This window comes from Homo sapiens, chromosome 1, assembly GCF_000001405.40.
Source record: "Homo sapiens chromosome 1, GRCh38.p14 Primary Assembly".
Classification (NCBI taxonomy): domain Eukaryota; kingdom Metazoa; phylum Chordata; class Mammalia; order Primates; family Hominidae; genus Homo; species Homo sapiens.
This window is the reverse complement of record NC_000001.11, coordinates 185,865,126-185,882,860: the sequence shown is the minus strand read 5'-3', so window position 1 is coordinate 185,882,860 and position 17,735 is coordinate 185,865,126. Positions and strand designations below refer to the sequence as shown.

Genomic DNA, 17,735 nt, shown 5'->3' with positions numbered 1-17,735 from the left:
CACCAGCTATAAATAAAGTATACATTTTTAGGCCTTGATTTTTGTCAAATATGAGCAAAAATTGTCTTCTTATAATCTTTGAAGAGTTGAATACATTATAAATAATTATTTCTCATGGTTGAAAGCCCAAGGTGATGGCATCAGATGAAAAAAATTCATAAAATATACTTCACTTGCTATTTCCATCATAAAAGCTAAGTATTATTTTTATCATTCTTTATATTATAATTTCTGAAGTGGGAAAATGGTGACTTCCAGGCTTACAGCTTTACATAAATGAATTCCAAACAATTTCATTTTTTTGTGGCAACTACCCATATCAATGTTTTTCAAACTTTTTTAAAAAAACAGGATACTTTTGTCAAATCAAATGGTACACAGAAAAGAAATGTAAAACAGGTAAAAGCCAAACTGTTCCAAGATCTACCCTAAACAAACTCTGTAGAGCTCTGTTTAAAACCACTTAGCTGCAAAATCAAAGAATAACATTAAAACTGAAAAAAAAAAAAACATTCATTTCTTTGACAACACATTAATTTCCTCAATATTCTATCAGGAAGGCAACAATAAGCTGTGAATGCTCCATGAGAGTTTCATTAGCATTGCTTCATTCCATAACTGCATATAAATCAATGAGTATCTGTAAAGTCTACTATGGTCAATGCAGCTAGCCCCATAAGTTTATGTGACCTTTAAAATAACTCTTATATACTAATCTCCTAAAACAAAAATAAATGTAATTTTCTCAAAAAAAGTCATTAACTCTGATAGATCTTCAAATAGGAAATGAATAGTTTTCCATTTGGATGTTAGTCCTTTTTACATCTGTTTAGGGTAGACATTTCTAAAAGAAAAAAATATCTTATGAAATTCAGAACTTCAACTTTCCAGGCCCCATCTAAAAGAGGAAGTACAGGGAAAATCCAAAAAGAGAAAACACTAAGAGACTTCTCAAAATACTTTTGAAGCTGCAAAAATATTCAGAACAAGTTTGGATGTGAGTACAAATGAGTTTTTATTTTATAAAAACTGGCTATTTCTACTGAGCTTACTTTTGAAGCTTCACCTGAAAATGAACTTTATTCTGTTTAATATTGCAGACTGAATTCATAACAGACTTTGTCTAAATTCATATGTTCAGCATTATGTCTTGTTCTACATTTCTAATAAAAATGATGGACACTGTGATAGGGGCAGGAGGCAGAGAAATTCTAGGCAGAAAAGGGTAGGTCCCCAGCAAAAATCCCAAGCCAAAAAGCCTGAAACCACAGCCCAAAGTGAGAACTTATATCCCTGTTTTCCCACTGGAATGTTGTCCTTTCCTAAACCACCCATGGCTCCACCCTACCCCGTCCTGTGCCTATAAAGACCCCAGACTCAGCTGGCAGAGAGAAGAAGAAGCTGGATACTGGGGACTATGCCTGGACGTCAGAGAGCAGCAGCTTGACTTTAGAGGGACAGCTTGACAGTGTAACTTTGGAGAAGAATTTGACCAGAGATGGCTGGACTTCAGGGGAAGATTGCCTTCCTACTCCATCCCCTTTTCTGCTCCCCTTCCCATTGAGAGCTACTTTCACCAGCAATAAAATCCCCCACATTTACCATCCTTCATTTCGTTCATGCAACTTCATTTTTCCTGGATGCCAAACAAGAGCTCTGGAGCCATGAGTGCAAATATGAAAGGCTGTCACACTGGTCCTTTGCCCTCACTGGCAGAGAGGCAGCCACCTCATGCAAAATGGCATAGGGCCCACTGAGCTGTTAACATTCAAGCCATCTGTCAACAGCAGAGCTAAAAGAGCAGTGTAACATGCCTTCTGGGACTTTGGGAGTCGCAGACACCACTGGCTGGATGCTGCCGCAAAGATTTTGCTCCTGCTGGTGCCCAAAAGCACTCGCTCTGGCTCCTGCACATGCTCACCTGCGCGCTCCCTCCCTCGAGGGGTGGATGTCATTATATTTGGACACAAGGCCACCCTGCACATGATAAAGCTATCAGAAAGACAACTCCTTTCTTCTTCCATTTACATGGGGGTTATTATAACTAACACATAGCAGTAGAGCTGAGATTTTACTCCAGACTCTTCTGGTCCAAATCCCAACTTCATTCCCCTATTTCATTCCTTCAAACATTCATTCAACAAATATTATGTATCTAGAAATCTACTATATGCCTGGCACTCTGGTAGGCAGCAGAAATATTAAAAATTAAAGACAGAAGCAGGTCTTTCTCTTGTGGAGTTTACAGCCTGGAACAGCAAATGCATTGTTATTATTATACAACATGATGATATGAAGAGAGAAGGACAAAGGTCAGGCAACTTTCTCAAATTTAGTTGGTGGTTGGCTATTGCAACAGAGGCTGGAAAGTTTTCCAGGATTAAGGAAGAGCCCATTCAAAGTATCAGAGGAAAAAGCATGATATATCAGTGAAAGTTAAAACAAACAGACAAATAAAAGACATTATAACTGGACCTACCATGATTCACATCTACATTAAATTTGGCCATCCCCTAGTATGGAATTACCTGCAATTATCAATCTCCTTTTTGTACTTTTGCTTTATGTTCTATGCTTTTTTTCCATCAATCTGAGCTTTTATGGATTCTTCTAGACCAAAGTCTTCACCGTGACTTCCAAAATGTCCATTCCAATGTTGGACTCCTTATGCCAAATCTTTACTGGAAACTCAAGATACTTCCTAACCCCAAGGAAAATATATCCCTCATCTAGGCTAGTCTCATCTCCAACAACTCTATTTGATGAAAGTTATTCATTATCCTGCACCCCATATATCTTAGAGATTGAACCCAGGGCAGCCTTTTCATTCCCCACTCCTGCCTGCTTCACAATGGATACAGCTCTGCTCCTTTGAGACTTGTACCATCTCTCTTTATTGCTGCCTCACCACTATTTCCTCATTTATTGAAGATTTTGTTACCTGGCTCACTTTCTCTCCATAGCAAGTCTTACTGTCACTACAGTGTGAATTCCACATTCAGATAGATGGCCTATCCAACTCGCTGACCTCTCAATGACCTCCTCAACTCTTGTAACCCTCCTCACTGCTCCATTTCGCCCACACATTCCCAAGGCCAACCAATGAACTTGCCATCAACTGGGTTTGCTCCAGACGTCTTACTTTCTCACAACAATCTGCAAATCCTCCAGCCTCTTTACTCAGATGCTCCTCTAAAACACTTTTGCTCCATAAGAACCTGCCCTAATCTACTTTTGCTCAATATTGAATCCTTAAAGTCTAACACATAGTAAGTAGGCCTCAACAATGTTATGGAATGAATAAATAAATAAATGAGTGAATGAGTGACTTAATAGTAAAAATATAAATAAATAAGATAATGGTAAAGAGACAGTCAAAAGATCACATGAGTCAGGCAAGGTGATTCACACCTCTAATCCCAACAATATGGGAGGCCAAGGTGGAAGGATTGCTTGAACCCAAGAGTTTGAAACCAGCCTGGGCAACATAGAAAGACCCCCTCTCTACAAAAAAAATCAAAAATTAGCTGGGCATGGTGGTGCACACCTGTAATCCTAACTACTCAGGAGGCTGAGGTGGGAGAATTGCTTGGGCCTGGAAGGTCGAGGCTGCAGTGAGCAGTGATCACAACACTGCACTCTAGCCTGTGCAACAGAGTAAGACCCTGTCTCAAGCAAAACAAAAGGCCATATGGTCAGAGACTAAGCAAGATACTAGGCAAGGAAGGGATTGGTTGACTGGGAAGGCAATTATGAAAATAGAATGGAAAGCATTTTACCAACTAACTAAATGTGGACAGCAAACAAAGAGAGGATGACTCAGGCCACTTGAGCCTGGATAACTGCAAGAAGTGTGCTAATATCAAGAGCAAAGAGGAGTATTAAAGAAGAACATGTCCAATGAGGAGCTTCTATCTTACAGGTGTTGGGAGAACAGTCAGATCAAGATGACCAAAGGACAGTCTGAACATAGGATGATGGCTGAAGAAGCAGTCAGGGCTGAAGACTTGGACATCATCCGCACAGAGTAAAAAGGAAAGCAGTAAGATCCATTCATTCAAAACATTCAGTTAATAACTATTAACTGAGTACATGCCAAATGTCAAACACTGTTTTAGGCAAAGACAAAGGATATGTAATATAATATTAGATAGAGAGAAGTACTGTAAAAATGAAGTCGATAATGGTGTTGAATATAGACCCCAAAATCCTCTACAAAATATTAGCAAATCAAATCTACCAGCACACCAAAAAGATAATACATCACAATCAGGTGGGTCTTATTCCAGGGATGCAAGGGTGGTTCAACATCCACAAATCACTAAATACATAAACAAACAGAATTAAAAACAAAAACCATGTGATCATCTCACAGATGCAGAAAAAGCATTTGACAAAACCCTAAATCCCTTCATGGTAAAAGCCCTCAACAAACTAGGCATCAAAGGAACATACCTCAAAATAACAAAAGCCATATGCAACAGATCCACAGGTAACATCATACTGAATGGGGGAAAGTTGAAAGCATTCGCACTAAGAACTGGAACAAGATAAGGATGCCCACTCACCACTCCTATTCAACATAGTACTGAAAGTCCTAGCCAGAGCAATCAGTGAAGATTAAAAAATGAAAAGCATCCAAATTAGAAAAGAAGTGAAATTACGTCTGTTTGCTGATCACATAATCTTATACCTAGAAAACTCTAAAGACTCCTAGACTTGATAAGCAACTTCAGTGAAGTTTCAAGATTTCAGAATATGAAATCAATGTACAAAAATCAGTAGCATTTCTATTCATCAATAACATTAAAGCTGAGAACCAAATGAAGAATGCAATCTCATTTACAACAGCCATTCAACAGAAAAACAAATACTGAATGTTCTGACTTATAAGTGGGAGCTAAATAATGAGAACCAATGGGGACAAAGAGAGGAACAACAGACACTAGGGCCTACTTGAGGGAGGAGGGAGTGAGCAGGGAGAGGATTAGGAAAAAAAACTATCAGATACTATGTTTAGTACCTAGGTGACAAAATAATCTGTATACCAAAACCCTGTGACACAAATTTGCTTATACAAACCTGCACATGTACCTCTGAACCTAAAATAAAAGTCAAAAAAAAGGAAAAAAATAGCCATACAAAAAGAGTAAAATACCTAAGAATATATTTAACCAAGGAGGTGAAATATTTCTACAAGAAGAATTACCAAACACTGATGAAAGAAATTATAGATGACATAAACAAATCAAAAATCATCCTGTGCTCGTGGATTAGAAGAATCAATATTGTTAAAATGCCCATAATGCCCAGAGCAATATGCAGATTCAATGTAATTTCTATCTAACTACCAATGTTGTTTTTCACAGAATTAGAAAAAAAATCCTGAAATTAATATTGAACCAAAAAAGAGCCCTATAGCCAAAGTAATCCTAAACAAAAAGAACAAAACTAGAGGCATCACATTACCTGACTTCAAATTATACAACAAGGCGAGCATGGTACTGGTAAAAAAAAAAAAAAAAAAAAAAAAAAAAAAGAAAGACACATAGATCAATGAAATAGAATGGAGAATCCAGAAATTAAGCCACATACTCCCAGCCAACTGATCTTCAACAAAGTCAACAAAAATATACAATGGAGAGAGGATACTCTATTTAATAAATGCTCTTTCCAGGACTGTTATTAAATAAATAAATATTTAGTAATAGTCCTGGGAAAATTGGATAGCCATATGCAGAAAAATGAAATTAGACCCTTTGTATCTCTTACAATATACAAAAATCAACTCAAGATGGGTTAAATACTTAAATGTAAGACCTGAAACTATAAAAATTCTAGAAGCAAACTTAGGAAAAGCTCTTCTAAACCTTGATCTAGGCAAAGAATTTATGACTAAGAACTCAAAAGCAAATGTAAAAATCCAAAAATAGATAAATGGGACTTAAACAAAATACCTCCTGCAGAGCAAAAGAAATAACTAGTGGAGTAAACAAGAAAACCAATAGAAAGGGAGAAAATATTTGTAAATTTTACATCTGACAAAGGACTAACATCCAGATTCTAGAAATAACTCAAACAACTCAACAAGAAGAAAAAAAAGTGGGCACATTAAAATGTGGACAAAGGATATGAACAGATAGTTCTCCAAAGATATACAAATGGCCAACAAACATATGAAAAAAATGTTCATCATCACTAATCATCAGAGAAATGTGAACGAAAACCAAAATGAGATCCCATTTCTGACCAGTCAGAATGGCTATTACTAAAAAGTCAAAAAAGAGCAGATGTTGGCAAAGATGAAGAGAAAAGAGAACGCTTACACACTGTTTGTGGGAATGTAAATTAGCACAACTTCTACAGAAAACAATATAGAAATATTGCAGAGAACTAAAAACAGTACTACCATTTGACCCAGCAAACCCACTACTGGATATCTACCCAAAGGAAAAAAATTGTTATACCCAAAAAAGACACCTGCAATCCTATGTTTATCATAGCACTACTGAAAAAAGTCATGGAATAAACCAAAGCGTTCATCAATGGATGACTGAATAAAGAAAATGTGGTGTATATACACTATAGAATACTATTCTGCTATAAAAAAAGAGTGAAATCATGTCATCTGCAGCAACGTGGAGGGAGCTGGAGGCCATTATCTTAAATGAAATAACTCAAAAACAGAAAATCAAACACTGCATGTTCTCACTTGCAAGTGGGAACTAAACAATAGGTGTACATGAACATACTGAGGGGAATAATAGACACTGAGGACTACAAAATGTGGGGAGGGTGGTGGCGAGGGTTGAAAAATTACCTACTGGGTATATGTTCACTATTCGGGTGTTAGGTACACTAGAAACCCAAACCTCACCATTACACAACATATCCAGGTAACAAACCTGTACACGTGCCCCCATAAAAGTAATTAAAAAATAAAGTAGGATAATGTGAATAGGACAGAAAATGAGGGGTGTTCTTTTAAATAATGCTATCAGGAGAAAGAGGCATTTAAGTAGATAACTAGATGACTCAAGGAAAGGAGTTATGACCAGAAAAAAAGAAATAACTGAATCATGATATCAAGAGATAGAGTAAGTACAGAGGCTAGCCAAAATTGGGAAATACATTTGGGATAAGAGAAGTAAAGTAAAGTAAAGGAGGCAGAGAAGGAATAGAGATCTGTCAGGGGAGAACATCATATCACAGATGCTCAGGGCAAGAGGATTTCAAAAAAGCAAAATGATCCATAGTGTCAAATTTTACACAAGGAAATGAAGACTGAGGCAACAGTCATTGTAATATATGAAGAGAACAGTTCTAATTGAGTGAAGAACAGAAGGCCTGTACTTAAGGAAGAAGCAAAACAGAAAGTAGAGTTTGGTTCATGATTTTGCTTCTGGACAGGGGAGACTTGATCCCTCTCCTCAGAGATTCCAAAATCTGGCATCTTGAGACATCATATCTATGTCTGATTTGTTCTTACATCCTCATAGCTCATAGCATAGAGTCTTGCTTATAAACCTGTAACATGAGTATATGAGGTGTGTTTGAAATTTTTTCTGTTAGTGGAAATGGCTTCACTATTTTCCTTTATTTTAAAAACAATACCTACACAGTAAACAATAAGATAAGACATAAAAGAAAAAATATTAAAATTATCCATAATCATACTATCCAGTGATTGCCATTATCAACATTTTTAGGTATGACTTTTTCATTTGTCTAGAAATATGCATACATAAATGTAAATGAATATATTTTTAAACTGCAATCTTACCAGACATATACTTTTAAGAAACATTGTTCAAATTAATAATTTTACTTACTTGTTTTTATTTATTATTTAAATTTATTGTATTCATTATAATATTACTGCATTAATTTGTTAATTTCATAAATATTATTTGAATAAATAATGGCCAAATTTTCACAAATGCATTCACTAGTTCCTGAAGACTTTCTCCTTTTTTACAGATGATATTGATATTCAAATTTTAAATGATTTAACTATATCATGTGTCTTTTTCCTAAGTTCATAATAAAAAGAATTTAATGAAATAACCCAACAATCATATTTTAAAGTAAATAAATTTCTTGTGTCTATTTAAAATTATGACTAGAATTCTGAATTTTTTTTCCTTTCTCTTCATTCAGTCACTTATACCAAAGCTGTTTAAATTATGTGGTATATGACTTTAAAGTACATTTTTCTTCTGGGGTCTGCAGCAAGAAAGAGAAAGCCATTTGTAATTTTTGTCACAAAGCCAAATCATGACCAAAATATTACAAGGGAGCTCTCAAAAGTAGCTCATACCATCTCTCAAAAGATTTTGCTTTTATAACCCTATTACAGTCAATTCACTCTTGGAATGCATAAGGAAACCTGGAAAATATATGAAGCATGGACTCTGTTTCCATTTATTTATCCTGGGCCATAAGGAAATTTCTCAAATAAAATTTCCTGTACTTTGACTCTTAACTCTTTCATCTCCCCTTTGCTATTGCAGAATCAGAAGCCAAAACTATATGGTCCTTGACGAATATTTTTAGGTTGAACCAAATGCAAGCAACGATAAATCATGATATATGTTTGGTATTTAAATGGCATTTGCAACTTAATATTTTCATGGAACTGCTTACTGCTTCATTAGATAAGCTCACTGTTTTCAAAGCCATCCATTGGTTCATAATATACAGAAATATTTAAAATAAGACCTTCAATTTTCTTCATACTTTGTATACTAAATGGTTTAAACTACTTAAAAAAAAACAATATTCATATGTTTTTTCCAAAGGTTTAAATTATCTTTAATTGATACAATTATTTCTTCTAGAGATAATAGCCAAGGCTTTTCTACTTTAAAATAATATGTACCTGCTGTGTTTAGCACAAAAGTTATAACTTTTTCTTTCAGATAGATAGTAATTATGTAATGGAGTTCCTGGGTAGGTAATTATGAAAAGTAAGTTAGACAATTATATAAGATCTTCTATGTCTAGAGATTAACAACAGCCAATTACCTTGGCCCAAATTATTCAATTATCATTATTAAAGAAATAATACTATTGTGTTTTCCTCTCAATTACATAAATGTAAGGGCAGCAGGCAATTCTTGTTCTGCAGAAAAGATGTAATAACAAACCTTTTGCATTTTTCTATTTTCTGTGAGAGTTAGTTGCTTATTATTCAATCACAGGTGCTTTTTAACAAAAAAAGCTTTAAAAGGAATATCTTAAAATTAAATATATAAAATATGAAAGGAAATATCCAAATTGTTGAGGCTGTGTGAAAACTGCTCAACAGAATTTTATTTGTCTCATCATTGCTGATTTTTTGCATGTTCCCTTGTGTTCCTTTGCAGTTCCCAATGGGTAAACTTCAAGAGATCATGGTCAGCAATTTCAAAGGCTAACTAGTTGTTTCAGTTTTAAATATCAAGCATCTGGGACAATTTTTCTCAATTCAAATCTTTAGTTTCCACCACAACTCCAGTAAAAATAAAGACCAAATGAGGAGAATAGGTACTGTCTTTCAAGACAGTGTGGATTTTTAATGAGTTTTTCAAAGACTTTGAGGTTGACACAGTAACTTTTTGGTAGTTAAGATTTTTACAAACCCAGAATTAGCAATGCAGGTAATTGACTGATTCAGTTATCTCTAACATCTCATAGTCAAACTTGATATTTTATTTAGCTTCTAATCAAAATAGAGTCAGCTAAATAAATAGGTTTATTTCTTTTTCTATTTCATTTGGTCCTGTTGAAAGCATGCAACTTATTGGCTAGTGTTTACCCTTAAGTAACATTTCTTTCTTTTCTAAGAAATATTCCTTGAAGCATTATATAAGCTTCTTTTTCCTTAGATATAGGTCTTCTGTGCTTTTTTGGTATTTTAGGAAGAAGTTTTAATGAGTGATGTCCATTCTGTTTTCTGAATTTTATACTAGGGATCAGATGCCATGATTGTCTTATGGGATAATACTTTCATAGTGAAACTTACATTTCACAGGCAATGAGTTCTGTTGTGTAGAGATGATCCCACTGCACATTACAGAATCTATTGCTGCAGTTTATAACTAGTGCTTCAAACAGTTCCCAGAGCCCATATACAAAATCATGAAATGAAAGACAGGCACTCTCATTTTGCAGGGCTTATCCTTTTAAATCATGTATTCCCCACTTCCCATCCCATATCTGGTCTCATCCCCTGCTGTTTCAGACTGCAGGAGAGCTCTGCTTGACTTTTGGTATATTTTTTCTAAATGATATTCTGTTGAGAGCAGTCATCTCCATCCATCCTCTCCCCCCAACATTTGTGAGAAATATTATGTACTATGTACTCTTTAAATGTCATTATGAGAATTGTTCAATGCTCAGAAGCCTACAGACAAAGATAATTTTTAAGCAATAAATTAAGGACTTCATTTTTTGTTTTATCTAAACAAATGGAAAGTACACATGGCTTCATTTAAGCATATTCCTGACCTATAAGCACTCCCAGGTGCCTGGAAGTGAAAAGGTAACTATGTGACTGGAACATTAGCATTCCTAGCACATACTCATACAGACAACATGTCAATCTTAGCACAAAAAAAAAGAGAAAGAAAGCATTCCATTGAAACTAAAGTTCAGGTATGCATTCCTTTTCTGTTGTGTTTGTGGATGTGGAGACCTACATTTATTTTAAGGAATCGGCTCTGAACATCTCCATTCCATTTTCCACAGGTGAATTCAAAGAAGGGATAAGTGGAAACATTTACACATTGTTTTCACACATTTCCTGTAGCTCTCTAGAACATTATAGTTGTCCCTGATACATTTTCAAATTTCAGAGGAAACACCCGTTTCTACTTATTTTCAAGGTCAGCAGTAAGGTTTTGTTTTTGAAATAATTTTTGGAGTGAAACTCAGGAATGGGGAAAAACAAAATGGCAGATTCCTAATTTTAGAGCACTAACTGTCCAAAACCCCAATTTTCAGAGTCTCATCATTGAGCCCATATGCAGAAAGCTCATGGTCTAAAGTCTAGTCCTAAATGGCCATTAGCCAAAATAGCGGGAAGAGGCTGTGCCAGATTCATACTCCAGCAAAGTTTACAGTTTTTTTTAAGTATTGAACTCAGGGAAAAAACTAGCAAGAGAAATAAGTCCAGTAATCTCTAATCTATGAGGCTTTTCATTGCCAGGATTTGAATTTTTCATGGATGTGTTGCAAAATTGTCACTTTATTTTCCTGGGTTCAGTTTATTTCCTTTGAAAAACCTAGTAAGCTCAACTTTCCTCTGCCTATTAGAAAACCAAAAACGGTCACTAGAACATTTTGACTAGCATGTATCACTAAATAAAAATAATAGCAGTTAATATTTATCGATATGTTCTAAACCCAACAACACTATGAGGTAGAAACTATCATTTTCTCCATTTTACAGATAAGGAAACTGACACACAGAAAATATCTGAGGTCACATGGCTGGGATATGAGCCATGGTCCCAGAGCGTTAGTCTTAACTACCACACAATACTGCTTGTGCTGAATCTTTTCTGTTTACCCCTCCAGCTTCATTTTCTAATAATCATTTCCATCTGGCTTTGCACCCTGGGATGCTGACTTTTTTTTTTTTTTTTTTGAGACGGAGTCTCTCTCTGTCGCCCAGGCTGGAGTGCAGTGGCACGATCTTGGCTCACTGCAACTTCTGCCTCCCAGCCTCAAGCGATTCTCTTGCCTCAGCCTCCTGAGTAGCTGGGACTACAGGCATGCGCCACCATGCCCAGCTAATTTTTGTATTTTAGTAGAGACAGGATTTTACCATGTTGATCAGGATGGTCTCGATCTCTTGACCTCATGATCCGCCCACCTTGGCCTCCCAAAGTGCTGGGATTACAGACGTGACCGCAGCCAGGGATGCTGACTTTTATGGAACACCTCAACAGGGCTCCTTGGTTCCCTAGCTTCCAGTTGGATTTGGGAAAATGAAAGGCACCAGGAAATACGAAGGGGTTGGGCACATATTCCCCTGGTTCTATTGTTATAGAGCTTCAGTTACTGATACCCTGCCTCTGTAAGAGAGAATTACAGAAGTAATTATTTATTGAAATGCTATTTATTGCTTAATTGTACATTTGAAAATAACTTAAAGAGTGTAATTGGGTTGTTTGTAACTCAAAGATACATGCTTGAGAGGATGGCTACCCCACTGTCCATAATGTGCTTATTTCATATTGCATGCCTGTATCAAAACATCTCATGAACCCCATAAATACATACACCTACTATGCACCCACAAAAATTTAAAAAATAAAAACAGAAATGTTTTTATTGTAATGGTAACATCTATTAGAATCGGACCAATACAACAGGCTGGTAAGTTTTTTTCGAGGGAAGGGAATGTTACAGGATATGAGTTGGCGGAGGTGGGAAAAAGGATAGGGAAGCTCAGGACAAGCGAATTATCTAAATAACAGTGATCTTTTGTGTTAGCTTCTTTGACACAGGGATATAGCATCTGTGAGAAACTTTGAGATTTCCAACTTGGACTTTTTCTTACACCAAAAGGAAGCATTAATTAAATCAGCTGACAACCCACCTAGCATATAAATAATGGAATAATACTGCAATAGTTTAGTTCCTTGTCTGTATTCAAAGGTGAATTAAGGACATCCTTGAGAGGTATTGTAAATTGTGTTTCCAAAATGTAATACCATACAGTGATTTATAGACCACTGATGCTTGGCCAAATAATTTCTTCACTTTGGTTTCCCTTTTATGTTAAATAAAGATGAAACAGTCCTAGATCTTCTACTTAATCATTGTTTTTTTTTAAAAAAAAAAAAAAACAGAACGCAGTAAAAACTTCACTTTAACTCAAGAGTGAGTTTATATAAAATATATCCCCCAGGTTAAGAAACTGATTAAATAGGTTAAGAGAGTAAAATATAACACTACACTTTCCTTTAGAAACAGTAGATGAAGAGTCTTGAGTAAAATGAAAGGACTCAGTGCATGTGTGGCTTCCTTGAAGTTCTTATGTCTATTAAATGTGAAGACACCAGTATAGCATCTGTTTTCCCTAGAGTTCGTAATGTTTACGTAATAGAATAATTTGGAACAGTGAGAAAAAAGAAATGACTAAATTACATGCCAAAAATTTTGCAAATCCAATTTTAACACTGTCACAATGCTTCCTATTAATAAAATCTTCTGTGGTGGTAGCTTTCTTTAAGGAATATATTGACTTGTACAGTTCCAGTAGGAGCTTCACAATATTTTTTTTTCACACACAGTGAAAAAAGAAAACTGTCCAGCCTCTTCCTGGATTCTTCTACTCAGATTTATTTCCAAGTAACAATCAGACATCTAATTTCTAGCAAACATGATGGCACAGTTTTCCCCACTTTAAAAGCATAATACCAACACTACCAGTGTTATAATAACACTAGTTAATATTTATTGGGCACTACTCTGTGCCAGACCTTGTGTGGAACATTTAAGTGCATTATCTCACTTAACCTCAGAGCAAATTTCTGAAAAGGATAATTCTATTATCTCCATTTTACAGACAGGGAAACTGGGACTCACAGATCCCATGTCACAAAGAAATATACAAGTTTTATCATTTAAGATGCATTTACTTTAAGGTAACTGAATACTCAACTCAAATTGGCTTGAACAAAAAGATAATTTCCTGAACTCTAGAGGTTTAGCAGTAGGATGGGTTTGATTGTTGACTTAATCCAAAATACTCCTAGCTAAAATTCCTTTGGTCTCATTAGCCCAAAGTAAGTGAAACATCCTTTCCTGCAACAATTGGTGAGGTGGTTAGAATTGCTATGATGGATAGATAAATAAAGCCTCAGCTCTATTGTTGGCATCAAACTCTAGTTTATAAAAATGGACAACTTTAGCAATGCTTCTCTCTAGTGCTATTCTGCAATAGCTAAATTTAAAGATTAGAATATCAGTTGATGATCCAGGAGAGAAACACTAACAACAAGCCAGTGGGTTAAGTTTCTCTAATATATCCATATTTATAAAATTTTCTGAATTTACATCAAATTTTTATAAAGTATTCTTCTTACAAATTATCTGGTAATTGTCAGAATTATTAAAAATTATTAGAAATATAAAAATTATGTATAATATCATGCTGTATTAGTGCTTTCTCATGCAGCTATAAAGAATTGCCGAAGACTGGGTAATTAATAAATGAAAGAGGCTTAATTGACTCACAGTTCTGCATGGTTGGGGAGGCCTCAGAAAACTTATAATCATGACGGAAGGGGGAGTGAACACATCCTTCTTCACACAGTGGCAGGAGAGAGAAGGGCTGAGTGAAGCAGGGAAAGGCCCCTTATAAAACCATCAGATCTTGTGAGAGCTCACTCACTATCATGAGAAAAGCATGGGGGAACTGCCCCCATAATCTAATTACCTCCGATTAGGTCCCTCCAATGACATGTGGGGATTATGGGAACTACAATGTAAAATGAGAACTGATTGGGGGGCAGTGGGGGGAGACACAGCGAAACAATATCACATGCCATTTAATAAACGCTCTAGGGCTTATAGTTTCTCTATAGGGCTTAGTTTCTCCATTTAAGGCACTATATTATTTCAGTTTTATGTAACTCAATTTTCCTTGGGTATGTGGATATAAATGGAGTCACATTCCCAGGACACACTTTTGTTGTTGTTGTTGTTGTTGTTTTTCTGGCTCTGAAACCCACTACTAATAAAGTCCTATGGTTCTCCTTAAATTTAACCCAATTTGTTTTGGAATTTTTTTTTTTTAGATGGAGTCTCACTCAGTTGCCCAGGCTGGAGTGCGGTGGTGTGGTCTCAGCTCACTGCAACCTCCACCTCCCGGGTTCAAGTGATTCTCCTGCCTCAGCCTCCCGAGTAGCTGGGACTATGGGTACGTGCCACCATGCCCAACTAATTTTTGTATTTTTAGTAGAGACGGGTTTTCACCATGTTGGCCAGGCTGGTCTCGAACTCCTGACCTTGTGATCCACCTGCTGCGGCCTCCCAAAGTGCTGTGATTACAGGCGTGAGCCACTGCGCTCAGCCTGTTTTGGGAATCTCTAAGTGGTGTCTGACTGCTCACAAACAGGTCCCATTGAGCAACTATTCTTTCAAAAGCTTAGGTGCCAGCCATGTGTCTTCTTGCCTCTTCTGTAATACTTCTCCTGGGAATGACCATGTCCACTAGCCATGGCATATTCAGCATACTGGCCCCAACACTCTATCTCTGTGCACTGCACACCACCACCACCTCCCACCCAGAAACTCATAAAACTCTAAGCAAGTGATATACAAGCTGATGTAAGAGAGAATGCTATTCTTCCTCACTTAAGTCCCACTTAATGCTGCTCACTGTACCCTAGAGTCTTACAGAATTCCAGGTTGAAGACAATTTCTATGAGCAGTTTTTCCTTCTTTAGGTTCAAGTACAGTGTATGAGATAGGACAAGGAACCCAGTGTCTGAGAGACTCCTGCACTGTTCCCCAATCCCTTTCTTCCCAGGTTCCCAAATTCTCGTGCAAACATTGAGGCAAATCAACTGTTGAGGGCTCCCTGTGTAGTCATCAGACCCTTCCCAGGAATTTCTGAGTCACTAGAGTGCACACAATATAAACCTAAGGCATAACCCTCTCTAAAACTGTTTCTTCCAAGAATACATTTTTAAGATTAATTTTATAAATCTATCTATTTCAATATGTTGATTAAAAAAATTTTTCGCTAGATTCTTTGCTCTAGAAATTTGTAATGTCCTATTAGTTCCACCTTGATATAATAAGAACTCTTTAGCTATAAGAGAACTACTGAACCATTTCATTTAAGACACAAAGGAGTCTGTCATGAAATTAATAGAACTTGTAGAGATACAGTGACCACATGAATCAAATATGAATTATGCCATGGCACACGTTTACCTATGTAACAAACCTGCATATCCTGCACATGTACCCCAGAACTTAAAAAAAAAAGGACTAAACAAAAAATAAAAATAAATTTTAAAAAACCCTTATCTTTGTATTGGTATGTTCCTAGAAACTTAAATGAGAGTCAAATACATAAACAGGTTTAAAAAAAGGTCATTATGAGTGAGGCCAAGGAAAGACAGCAAAATGGACAAAGAAGAAATTATGGTCCAGACGCGGTGGCTCATGCCTGTAATCCCAGCACTTTGGGAGGCCGAGGCGGGCGGATCACGAGGTCAGGAGATCGAGATCATCCCGGCTAACATGGTGAAACCCCGTCTCTACTAAAAATACAAAAAAAATTAGCCGGGCGTGGTGGTGGGCGCCTGTAGTCCCAGCTACTCGGGAGGCTGAGGCAGGAGAATGGCGTGAACCCAGGAGGCAGAGCTCGCAGTGAGCTGAGATTGTGCCACTGCACTCCAGCCTAGGTGACAGAGCGAGACTTCACCTCAAAAAAAAAAAAAAAAAAAAAAAAATTATGACAAACCTATCTAAAGGACTTTTTAAGAAAATACTAAATTTTCTTACAATATAATTTATAAATATTATCAGTTTTTTGATAACTACATAGTTACTAGTTAGTCATAGTTTTTTACTTTTAATCTTAGAAACCAAACCTCATCAGAATTTTGCTCAATAATTAACTTTTTCGCATTCTACTTCAGTAACCAGTTTAGCCTCATTTTAATAGCTATATGAAAGTTATTCATCAAAAACACAAATTGACCTTACTGAACAACTACAAAAATTTTTGATTCCAATAAAATTAAACAGTTAAATTCAATTAAATTTAGCAGTTTGTTGCTATAAGTAATACAATCTAAAAATTAACATTAAATAAATATACCTATATTTCTTCACATTATTCAATGCCTTTATTGAACTGTGGCCTTGGAGTTATACCTTTTGGTTAAAATTGTTTTTGAAATCAAATCTGTCATAATTAGGCTGGCCTAACTGATTTTGATAAGGCAGCTGGTAATAAAGTAGACTCCCTTTATTAAACTGACCTCATTAACTTGTTTTTTGTCCAGATGGAACACTTGACCAGAACTTGTAGAGGCAATTTCTTCATAGACTTTATATCCAATATGGGTCCTGTCATCACAATCTCCAGTCAGAACAAATACGACCTATGATTAAAAAAAAAAAAAGAAACAGTGTAAAGGGTTTCCAGAAATAAAAAAATATGTGTATTGACTACCTATTGTGTTACATTACTGGGCAAGTAGAATATGTGAATGTGTGTGTGTGTGTGTGTGTGTGTGTGTGTGTGTGTGTGTGTGTGTGTATGCTTATATAATTATTGACTTTATACTCTGTTTAATAGTGAACCCAGATAGGAACATGGTGATTTATATTTTAGAAGTGTAGGCTAAAAGCTGTAGAAGTAGAAGTGAGACCATGACTATGCTAGATCAGAGAATGGCCTCAATTCCTCACCCCTCCCTGTATCACTCAGTCAAAAGATTCTGAGTTCTTCTTATAAAAGAGGTAGAGCTTATTTTGTCATCTGTGAATCTAAGCTTGTCCATGTGACTTCCTTTGGCCAATAGCATGAGGCAAAAATGACATTCTACAAGTTCTGGGCTGAGACCCAAGAGGGCTTGTGTATTTCCATTTGCTCTCAAGTGTTTCTGCCATGGCCATGAGAAGGACATGCCTAAACCAACTTACTGGTCTCAAAAAGAGGGTAAGACAACTATGAGGCAAAGCCAGGTCTCCTGACAGTCAAGCTTAGATAAGCA

The 17,735-nt window shown here is 36.2% G+C and overlaps 1 protein-coding gene across 4 annotated transcripts in view; it reads right to left on the bottom strand.

Annotated features, from left to right (window-relative positions):
* Window positions 1-17,735, bottom strand: part of HMCN1 (hemicentin 1) — a 456,559-nt gene that overhangs the window by 308,089 nt on the left and 130,735 nt on the right. For all 4 annotated transcript variants that reach the window (NM_031935.3, XM_011510038.4, XM_024450118.2 and 1 more), the window contains exon 4: window positions 16,998-17,120. In NM_031935.3, the coding sequence (NP_114141.2) occupies window positions 16,998-17,120 (123 nt within the window). The remainder of the gene's footprint in view (window positions 1-16,997; window positions 17,121-17,735) is intronic.